The sequence below is a fragment of the Homo sapiens genome, chromosome X (assembly GCF_000001405.40).
Source record: "Homo sapiens chromosome X, GRCh38.p14 Primary Assembly".
NCBI lineage: Eukaryota > Metazoa > Chordata > Mammalia > Primates > Hominidae > Homo > Homo sapiens.
Window position 1 is genome coordinate 116,688,395 of NC_000023.11, and position 12,371 is coordinate 116,700,765.

A 12,371-nucleotide genomic window follows, 5' to 3' on the forward strand; every position below is an offset into this window, starting at 1 on the left:
AGCAGTTCCTAAGCAAGGAGAAAAGCATGCCCATTAAAATGTACTTCACATTCTTATTGTATTAATCTATATGCTGGTTAGCTTATGGCATAGAATAAAATCATGCTATTATAAATCAAAGAGAAAAGCTCAATAACAGAACATTTCAGATATTATTTTACTTTTAATCTGATATATGATCTAGCATTTTCTTGAAATATATGTTGAACAAGTATTTGGATTTAGAAATATATGACAGTATTAATTTTGGAAAAATTTATTCAATGTAAAAAGGAAAGTTATTTATTTAGGTTCTTTTCATAGTTGTCTTCTGGCTTGTTACTAGATTATCTCAATTGCTTGAATATATTTTCATATTAATTATTTTTGATAAATCACATCTAAGGAACATAATCAAATTGCTAATCATTAGTGCAATAAAGTCGAATCTTTAGCTTTGTCTTTGCATATTTCACTTTCACAGCAATATTTATCTGTAACTAATGCAATTCCATAGACCTGATTATGGTGCAATTCCATACCCTGACTGGGGAGTTGCTCTAGGCTGGTGTATAATAATTTTCTACATTATTTGGATTCCAATTATGGCTATCATAAAAATAATTCAGGCTAAAGAAAACATCTTTCAAGTGAGGGCATTAATTTTTTTTATATTTTATACAAATTACTTATGGTTAAAGATTACTTTACTCACATGATGTCATATGAGAATATATAAGATGCAATTAATTACTCCTACTTCTTGGCTACTTCTATATCTGACAACCATCTGTTACTACTGCATAATATGGTATTATATTCTTTATATATTTGCTGTATTTCTCTATAGTAGATTATAAGCTCCTTGTGGGAGAAGTCTGGTCTTGTTGCTGTATCCACGGGCCTTGCTACAGTGCTTAGCATATGACAGCTATGACATCTATACCTGTGCTGAGTTGTCCCTGAAGATGTCACAAAGCAAATGACCTGTTTGGTTTATATCCATAGTCACTACTTTTGAAACCTTATCTGGTTATAATATACATCCTAATAGTGTTTTCATACTGGAATAAGCCTGGTAAATATCTGGAACTCAATCTAGACCCTGAGTCGTCTTTCTTCCATGGAGGTCTAAGGGGATAAAGTTTATTATGATATCTCAGTAAGACAACAACAAAGTAGGCTCAGGAGTCTTAGATTTAAATAAATTAGCAAGTCCATATAACAATGGATCCAAATCCATGGTTTGATCCTGGAACTTTTTTTCCTTTGTTCTTGAAACATATCCCAGGTACACACTGATTTAGATCCTTACCTCACACTCATCCTAAGGCCAGGATGGAAATGTCGGAGAATTCAGCGAAGATACAGAGTAGACACACTGTTACTCTAATGGGTTCACACACCTTGTTTTGAATTCATTTACATACTCAGTTATTTTGGTTTAGTAGTTAATATAGTTCTATTAACAACTAGTTACTTTTGATTATGCTTTTATCTTGGTAAACTGTGCATTAATACGAATTTAGATGATCACTTTTTACCTATGATTCTTATTTTTTGTTAGTAAAGAAAAAAATTTAAATGAAAGTACAGTTCAATATTTACTTGTTTACAGATCATAGCACTTAAATTCTAAGACAGTAATTTTTTTTTTCACTTCAGTGCCTTGTAAGTTGCTGCAGACTAGCTTCTAACTGGGTTCCATACCTGGAACAACGTTCTGGGGAGAGATATAAAGGCATGATATATCCCCAAAAAGAGACTGACAGTGACATACCTACTGTTAGTGGCAGCAGAAAACCAGAATGAGATCTCACTGAAAAAAATATATGATTGTATAATGTTATTGTTTTTTTAAGAATGGGGGAAACTTTTTTATTTGTATGTTAACTGAGTAGGGAAATGTACATACTATTTTCATGATAGTGTGATTTTTCTCACATTTAAGCAGGAATGCAATATAAAAATGTGAATTTCTTAATGCTCAGCCATGTGATAATATTTCTTTTTAGATTATCTATCTGTAAAACACACACATACATACATAACTGTCTGTATATCATAATTATATTTTTGTAAATATTAGAATGCTTTTCTAATACATTGAAGGCTTTTTGGGGCTAATTGCTTTGAAATATTTACATTTTCCACTATACAAGTTTTAAAATATTATTTACTTGTATTTTCTTAATATAAAATCTTTCTTTTCCACAAATCTGTGGGGAATATAAATCAATACATTTAAAAGAAAGCGTTAAAACTGAAGACCTCACTTAATTAGAAATGTCATAAATATATGCAAAAATGGACTATGTATACTATAAGAGGACTGTAGTTTAATATTTTTATCCAAATATGTTTAAAAACTTCAAGCATTTGTTACAGTTCATGTTTTCTGTGTGAAACGTGTAGTTAATGTTCTTTATAAAGAGTGACATAAGAGAAAAATAAGGATCCCATGGCCAGTAAGAAAGAAATCTAGAAAATGAAATTTTGAGTACTTCCTTTCCCATATACAATCTTCCTTCCTTGGGTCATTCGGAACAAAACTAGGACCCATTCAATTTCTATTGTGTTTCACAAAATTAAGAGTTGTTCATTATACCCTCTGAAATACATGTTTAATTTCAAATAGCATATGGACCGAAACATTAATGAGAAAATGGCTTTAATCAAATCTAGCATTTTATGATTGTGATACCCAGCTGATAGAGTGATTTTGCCTTATATGAATAAGTTATTACTTACAGGTGATAACTTACTTACATACTATTAGAAGATAAACTCGTCAAACTTGCCAAGAATGAGAAAAGCCAAATTAGAAGTCCCATGTCCTAGTTTCCTCACAAAGGATAATTAAATATATTACTAAGAGCTTTACATATTTATTATATACTGTTGACAACTGGTTTAAGCATCACAGCCTATGATGATAAACACTGCCTACATATATAAAGAACTTTTCATCAATTCTTAAGGTTCTTAAAATAGGCTTCAGGGAATGTAAAAAACAGAAATTATATGGAATATTTTCTGTGTGTACTTCTACATGCATTTTTCTAGGGAGAGAGTCCATAGTTTTCATCAGCATATCAAAGAAATCTGTGACCTAAAGACGTTTAAGAACCACATACACTACTGCTGACATTTTGTGCTTGGCAAATGAGTGACAATAGAAGGAATAATTTTTCTTAAATATTTTAAATTGTTTTCTCTTTCTTGTAATTGAAGATGAAAGGAGTAAGAAATTAAGGCATTTCTTTAATTTATACTGGTAATTTATTTAGGGGGGAGGGGACATGAAAGTACGTAAATAGGTAGGCCTCTAACTGAATCACCTCAGTAAGTTATGTGCATACGTCTAAGATGAAAGTGTCTGACATTCTGAGGGTTTCCCTTGAAGGCAGGTCAAATGCTATTAGTAAACTTCAACAGATTGTTAATTCCTTAGATACAAGATTCTAAAAAATAATATTTGAAAACAGATGGCTAACTAGAGGTTAGAAATACATTTCCTTAATTTTAATCCACATTATATTACATGCATTCTACCACTACATTTTGGTACTATTTAAGGTGTCCAATTTTTTATAGGTGACTTTTGCAATTCAGGGAGGATTTGGGCATTTTATTTCATTTTTTAAAATTCATTTTATTTATGTATTTATTTTTGAGAGGGAGTCTCGCTCTGCCCCTCAGGCTGGAGTGCGGTGGCGCGATCTCGGCTCACTGCAACCTCCGCCTCCCAGGTTCAAATGATTCTTCTGCCTCAGCCTCCTGAGGAGCTGGGACTACAGGCACGTGCCACCATGCCCGGCTAATTTTTTGTATTTTTAGTAGAGATGGGGTTTCACCATGTTAGCCAGGATGGTCTCGATCTCCTGACGTCATGATCTGCCCGCATCGGCCTCCCAAAGTGCTGGGATTACAGGCATGAGCCACTGTGCCTGGCTGATTTTAAATGAAAGAATATCTAATTGGGAGAAGTGTGAAAGGAAAGAAATCTTTTTCAAAAGCTGACCACAAAGAGTAGTTAAAAGTTTTTGTCACTATCTTCACAAATGTGTAAAGCACAAATCTTAACATAGTGCTTGGCATATTGTAGGGTGTTCAATAATAGTTTTTATTATTATTACCCAGATTCAACAGTGGCAAGAAACAGCATTCTACACAAGGGGAAACAGTTCCATCAAATCCTACTTACTTTAATGCAAAGTAATTTATGGAGACAATTTATGGTATTGCATTATAAACCATTAGTGAAAACTGTTTTTCACAGTTGAATGAAATAAAAATCACTATATCTCAACTATATTGTTTAATGTAGCTTATTTATTTTTTAAAAATAAACTTTTGAACTGTTTTTTTTCTATTGTGGTTACATTCCTTCCCCAGTAAATATATTTTAGCAACATGTAATCAATTACCTAAAGTATAAGTAAGAAACTCGATAAGTATCTGGATTTTTTTTACCTGACTTGTCATCCCCTCCCTCTTAAAAAATAATTCATTTAGTATAAACACACAATCAAATGAATCTACTCAAAGTGTCTTTAATGATTTCCACCACTGGCATTACATCCTGTACGCTTTTGAGGTGAATTTCTGGAGACCTGACGCACCTCTCAAACCCTCGCTAACTAGAAAATATTCCAGTTCAGCCATTTGGTATTCCACCCTCTTCAGGTTTGCCAATAGTCGCTTCTGCATGTTTTTCGAGTGTGAGAAATTATTTAAAATATCTCGAGAGAGGTTGTTGAATAAAAGATCGTTGTCTGTATTGCTGCTAATTAACCCAGAAAAGCGTCTTAGTAGTGCAAAAGCAGTTGAAACTGATGACATTTCGCCATTGTTTCCCTGTAAAGGAAGGAAATTATACATCTGTAGTTTATCAAATTAAGCAATTTCCAAACTACCGAAAAACAACTTGTTTAATCTTGGTTACCAAAATAAACTGATTTCCCCTAATATGTAGAGATCAAAAATGTATTGAATTACTACATTAATTCAAAAATATATTCTTCCAAAACCAGACTGAGAAAAAAAATATATGAAAATACCCGTTAGTGCCAAAGTTTCATATCCTTCCTTACATTTCCTGAGCAGCCCAGTAGGTAAACATATGAACCCTGTCTTTGACTCTTATCTAAAAGCACCTCACTAGTGACTTTAACACCAGAAAATCCACACTTACACTCGAATTATTTGTGAATGCCCAGAAAGCACCCTTAAAATAAAGATGGCGACATTAGCAAACAGACACGTTGGGGAGGAGAAGCAAGAGAAGAAAGAGAGAAGGTAAGATTATCTTAAAGTGGGGAGACGGTGGTGGGGAATGGGCACTGACAACTGCACTTTGCTCTCCAATGAGTGAAAAGCTGACCATATTACTTAGGGACTTGGGGCTTTTTAGAAGAGACCACAACTGTCGAATCACTGGTCAGAATACGGGAATTGCGGGAGTGAGGGGGTAAAAGTCTGGGGCTCCTTTGAGCGAAAGAGGAATGAGATGATCTCCCCTTACCTCTCATTTTACTGTATTTTACTCTCTTACATACACACTCCCCAGTCCATATACTTATCTAGCTTCATTTAATTCAAATCTCCCTTACATTCACCGTTACCTGAAAGCGATATTTCCAGAAGACAATCAAGGCACACAGAATGCCGCTCGCTAGGAGTAAAAAGATGTTGATGTTTCCTCTTAGGCCTCTTCTCCCTTTTCGGGACGGACCCCCTCAGCTGGTAGTTGGGAAGCAGTAGGCCCCTAGTCAGCCTGTTTTGGGAAACTTCAGGCCAGACTGCCATGTGTCTTGCATCGCCTGGTGCAACTGGGATGTTCTGGGGTTGTCCCGCTTTATATACTGCTGAGAGCGCGCGCCCTCACAGTTGGGCACGCACGCGGAGATGCTGCGCCACAATAAGATGACGTAAAAACCGGTCCTGCCGGAAACCAGGCGGCACTTAGTAACCGCCCGCCTGGTTAGTGTCAGGTCCTTAGAGAGGAGAGTGAAAGACAGTGAGGAAGTTAGGGATTTCTGGGAAGCTGAAACGTGGTGGAAGTATAGCCTCCAAATGGATTGGTTAAATAGAGTATTTTAAAACTGCTCCTACTTAAAAAAAAATATGTCTTTGCTGCAGCCACTCCTTTATTCACTTCAAAAACAAGACAGAAACGCACTGTAAAAAGTAGTTACCCACAAATTATTTTTGCCAGAAACTACCTACTCCACACTCACATAGCTATTTTAGAATTTACTCCAACCCTAGTCACATTGGAATAATTACATACATTTGTGTCATTATACAGTTTAAGAAATAATTTTGGGGACATTTTCACATATAAGCCTCACAACAAATTTGCACTAAAGGTATCTTTTTTTTTTTAATTTCATGTTTATACCATGACATTTATTTTTATTTTATTTTTTATTTCTTAATCAACTTTTATTTTAAGTTCTGGGATACATGTGCAGGATGTGCAGGATTGTTACATAGGTGAACGTGTGCCATGGTTGTTTCCTGCACAGATCAACCCATCACCCAGATATTAAGCCCAGCACCCATTAAGCTGTTCTTCCTGATGCTCTCCCTTTCCACCCATCCCACCCCCGCCCCCCACAGGCCGGTGTGTTTTGTTACCCCCTGCCATGTGTCCATGTGTTCTCATCATTCAGCTCACACTTATAAGTGAGAACATGTGGTGTTTGGTTCTTCAGAGCCACACACAGGTATTTTTACTACTGTGTCTAATTTTGCAAATGTGGAAACAGATGCAGGTTTTAAACTCATTTGAAACTATTTAGCAAAAGCAGGACTTGAATCCATGGAGTTTGAGCTCTGAGATAAACTCCCCCATTCCCATCCTTATTCACATGACCTCCACCTCCACCCTGATTTGTGAGCATCAGGTATTTAATACTCTCCAACGAAAGAATTGAACAGTGTAGTTGGATTTGTATTGATGGGAGGTAACACATACAGGAATCCTTGCACTAGACAAGTTAGAAATGTTCAAGAAATTCAGTTAAATGTAGGCTATAGATACAGGAGTGGGACAGAGAAATGCTGGAAAGGGAAGGGCATGGTCCCTGGCTAGGGCTCCCTACCCTGGGCCTGTGCCCACAGACCTAGGTGAGAACAGGCATTTCTGTTTCCCTGCCCAAATGTTGCATTTGCAAAGACAACCCTGGCCTGCCATGTCCCCAAGCTGTGCCTATAAAAAACTGGAGACCCTAGCAGGCACAGACACAAGTGGCTGGATGTCCAGAGGAATACACCAGCAGAACACACAAGAGGCTGGACGTTGAGAGGATGTCGAGGGGTGAGAGCACACTGATAGGCACGGGCAAGCTGGCAGGCCATTGACTGGTGGAAAGATGCATAGGGGTGATTGGAGGGGACCCCAGCCACTCAGTGGCCCAACTTCAGGGGAAATCCACCTTTCCACTTCATCTCCCTTATGGCTCCACCATCTGCCAAAAACTACTTCCACTCAATAAAACCTTGCGCTCGTTCTCCAAGCCCATGTGGGATCCAATTTTTCTGGTACCTGAAGTCAAGAACTCTGGATATAGGAAACTCTCTGTCCTTGCAATAAGGCAGAAGGTCTAATTGAGCTGTTTAACACAAGCCACCTATAGACACCAAAACTAAAAGAGGATATGGTAACACACACTCTCTGCAGCCTCAGGAGCTGTAAACATTAACCCCTAGAGGCTCTCATGAAGTCGAGCCCCACAACCTGCCCTTCTGCCTGGTCCGCCTAGGGCTTTTGTGCAGCGAGACACTGAAGAAGCCAGCCACACCTCCATCACACACTCTGTGATGCAGACAAGGGAACTTTCCTCAATTCACTATGACACTAACCTAAGACCCAGAATTTAAAAACAATAGTCACCGTAATCTCAAGGTGAGCGTCCAACTGCAACGCAGTAACTCTGCTAGGTACACAAACCTCATCTTCATATAGATGGGAAGGGGAGGAATTCTATTTTTTATTTTTTTATATCACACCATTTCCTAGCTATGAGTACAAAGCTTAACATTTTATTGATTCAGTTAATATTTATTAAACACTTACATACTAGACACTGTGTTGTATTTTAGGAATCTGATTAGGAGCAAAAATAAAGTCTTTGTCCACCTGGAATGTGCACTCTGGTGTAAGAGACAGATATTAATCAAATACAGAAATGCATGTGAAAGTGCTGAGATAAATGATAGCAAGGAGTACATAGTGGTGTGGGAGCTCATAGTAGGATATGGGATCTAAAGGGGAGTGAAGTACCTGGCTTTATGGCTTACTCAATGGTATGGATAGAAAATGACCAAGTGTGGAGTTACTGATCATTAATTTAGTCTTGGACACATCAAGTTTGAGGTGACTTTGAGGCATGAAATAAATGTTCCCATGGAGATAAGTGAAGACATAAATCTGTGAGTCATCTGCATGTAAATGATAATTGAAACTCTAGATATAAAAGAAATTTCTTCATGTCAGTGTAGGGAGTACAAACGAAGAGAAGTTTGAATGGAGCCTTGAAAGATTTTAATACTGAATGGCTGGGCAATAACACTTCTATTAGTATGTGATTGTGGGCTTCCTGACATCTAAATTTCCTGTTTCATTGAATAAAATTTAGGGAAGCCCATTAACCTTATCTCTAACAATAGGATTGTGAATTTTGATCCTACTGGTATTTAAGTGAAAACTTCAGAGATCTTGGAAAATATTCTCATTAAACGCATTAAAGTACTGTTGCTAATCATTGATTTTTTTATTTTATTTTTAATTGTTTTATATATATATATATAACATAGAATTTAACATTTTATTCAATTTTAAGTGTACAGTTTTGTGGTAATAGGTACATTCACATGGTTGTGCAACCATCACAATAATCCATTGCCAGAGCTTTTTCATCTTCCCCAACTGAAACTTTATATTTATGAAACATTAACTTCCCATTTTCCTCTTTCCCTACTTCTTGGCAACCACCATTCTATTTTCTGTCTTTATTAATTTGACTACATTGGATAGCTCATACAAGTTGAATTATGCAATATTTGTCCTGTTATGAATGGCTTATTTCAATGAGCATAATATACTCAAAGTTCATCCATATTGTAGCATGCATCACAATTTCCTTTCTTTCATGAAGGGTAGGCTGAATAATATTCCACTGCATGTGTATACCATGTTTGGCTCATCCATTCTTCTGTTGACAAACTCTTGTGTTGTTTTCATGTTTTAGTATTATAAATAATGCTGCTTTGAACATGGATGTACAAATGTATCTTCAAGATCCTGCTTTTAATTTCTTTGGGTATATACCCAGAAGTGGAATTGCTGGATAATACGGTAATTCTATTTTTAGTTTTTTCAGGAACTTCATAGTGTTTTCCATAGCAGCTATACCATTTTATATTTCCACAAACAGTGCACAAGGTTTCGAATATCTCCTTATCCTCCTCAACACGTGTTATTTTCTATTTTCTTGCTTTTGTTTGTATAGTAGCCATCCTAATGTTTATGAAGGGTCTTTCATTGTGACTTTGATTTGCATTTATGATTAGTGATGGATGTTCAGTGTCATGTCATGTGCTTATATCTTCTTTGAAGAAACCTCTACTGAAGTCCTCTGCCCGGTTTTTAATTTGTTAGTTTGTTTTCTGTTGTTGAGTTGTAGAAGTTCTTTATATATTCTGGATACCAATCTCTTATTAGATATATGACTTGTAAGTATTTTCTTTGTTCCTGTGTGTTGCTTTTTCACTCTTTTAATAGTGTCCCTTAATGCACAAAAGCTTATAATTTAAATGAAGTCCACTTTACCTACTTTTTCTTTTGTCATCTGTAATTTTGTTGTCATATCCAGGAAATCACCGCCAAATCTAAAATCATGAAGCTTTTCTTAAATGTTTCCCCTAAGAATATTTTAGTCTTACCCCTTAAGTTTAGTTTCTTGATCACTTTTGAGTTAATTTTTGTACATAGTGTAAATGGTCCAACTTTATTATTTGGCCTGTGGAGATCCAGTTTTCCCAGCACCATTTATGGAAAAGACTAATTATTCCTCATTGAATAGTCTGGGCACCCTTGATGAAAATCAATTGACCACGTATTCAAGGGTTTATTTCTGTGATCTCTGTTCTGTTTCATTACTTCATGTGTGTCTTTATGTTAGTAGCAAATTGTTTTGACTACCATAGTGTTTGGTAAGTTTTGAAATCAACAAATGTGAGTCCTCTAACTTTATTCTTATTTCTCAGGATAGTTTTGGCAACTTGATTTCTCTTGTGTTTCCAAATACATTTTAGGATGGATTTTGATTTTTCTGCAAAAAACGTCTTTGGGATGTTTCCATAGGGTTTGCATTGACTCTGTAGATCCCTTTGGGTAATATTGACATTTTGAGATTATTAAGCCTTTCACTCCAATATTACAGTATATATTTTTATTTATTTGTATCTTCTTTAAATTATTTCAGCAGCATTTTGTCGTTTTTAGTGTACAATATTTTGCCTCCTTCGTTAAGTTCATTTCTGTGTTTTACTCTTTTTGAGACTATTGAAAATGGACTTGTTTTCTAAATTTTCTTTTCAGATTTCATTGTTAGTGGACAGAAATGCAAGTGATTTTTGAGTGTGGATTTTACATCCTACAACTTTGCTGAATCTTCTTATTAGTTCTAATTGTGAGTGTGTGTTGATGTGTATGTGTGTGTGTGTATGTGTGTTTGTGTGTAATGTTTAGGGCTTACTAAATATAAGACTATGTTACTTGCAAACAAAGATCATTTTACTTCTTCCTTTTCTATTTGGAGACCTTTTGTTTATTTTTTAATCACTCTGGTTAGGACTTTGAGTACCAGGTTAAGTAGAAGTGGCAAAAGAGGGTATCATTGCCCTGTTCCATCACTTAGAAGAAAAGCTTTCAGCCTTTTACCATTGAGAAATTTCAATTTTTAGTTTGTTGAGTGTTTTTATCTTGAAGGCTGTTGAATTTTGTCAAATATTTTTCTCCATCAATTGAGATGATCATGTGCTTATTTCCTTTTTATTCTGTTAATGTGATGTATTATGCTGATTGATTTTTATACATTGAACTATCCTTTCTTTCCAGGAATAAATCCTAGTTGGTCATGGTGTATAATTTTTTAAATATTCTGTTCCCTTCAGTTTGCTATCATTTAAAAATATACAATTTTAGAGAAGCTTCAGACTCACAGAAAAAAATTGAACAGAAAGTACAGATATTTACCATATGCCTCCAGCCCTCACAGATGCATTGCCTCCCAGATATTCAACATCTCATGACCAGAATGGTAAATTTGTCACAACTGATGAACCTAAATTAATAACTGTTTATAACACAGAATCCATAGTATACATTAGGATTCACTTGAGTGTTTTACATTCTATGGGTTTGGCAAATTTATATGTATCCACCATTATAGTATTGTACAAAGTGGATTCACTAAAAATCCTGTTGTACTCCACCTATTTATACCTACCTGACCTCAACTCCTGTAAATCACTGATCATATTACTGTATCCATAGTTTTGCCTTTTCCAGAATGTTATATAGTTGGAATCATACAATGTATAGCATTTTCTGAATGGCTCCTTTTACTTAGTAATATGCAGGTAGGTGTCCTCCATGACTTTACATGGATTCATAGCTCATTTCTTTTTAGTCCTGCAAAATATTCCGGTGTCTGGATATACAAGAGTTTATCTATTAACCTACTCAAAGACATCTTGCTTGCTTCCAAGTATTGGCAATTATGAAAAAAGCTGCTATAACCATTCATGTGCAGGTTTGTGTGTGGACATAAGTTTTTAACTCTTTTGAGTAAATATCAAGGAATATGACATTATATGGTAAAGGTAGATTTAGTTTTGTATGAAACAACCATCTTCCAAAGTGACTATAACATTTTGCTTTCCACCAGCACTAAGTGAGAGTTCCTGTTGCTTCTACATTCTTGCCGACATTTGGTGTCAGTGCTCTGGATTTTAGCAATCCTAATAGATGTATAGTAATATGTCATTCCTGCTTTAATTTGGATTTCTCAGGTGATATCTGATTCTGGGCATATTTTTGTATGCCTCTTTGCCATCTGTATATTTCTTTGGTGAGGTGTCAGTTAAGGTTTTTGTCTCATTTAAAAATTAGGCTTTTTGTTTTCTTATTATTGAGTTTTAATAGTTCTTAGTGTATTTTAGATAGCAGTCCATTATCAGATAATGTTTGAAAATATTTCTCCTATCTTTGGCTTATCTTTTTATTGCCCTGACTGTGTCTTTCATAGAGGAGAAAATTTTAATTTGAATGAAATCCACCTTATCCCCTTTTTTCATGGACTGTGCCTTTGGTGTTG

The 12,371-nt window shown here is 35.5% G+C and overlaps 2 pseudogenes; one reads left to right on the forward strand and one right to left on the reverse strand.

The window, feature by feature from the left end:
- On the forward strand, positions 436 to 4,291 carry SLC6A14P2 (SLC6A14 pseudogene 2; annotated as a pseudogene).
- LOC100506955 (cancer/testis antigen 83 pseudogene) lies at positions 4,520 to 4,845 on the reverse strand (annotated as a pseudogene).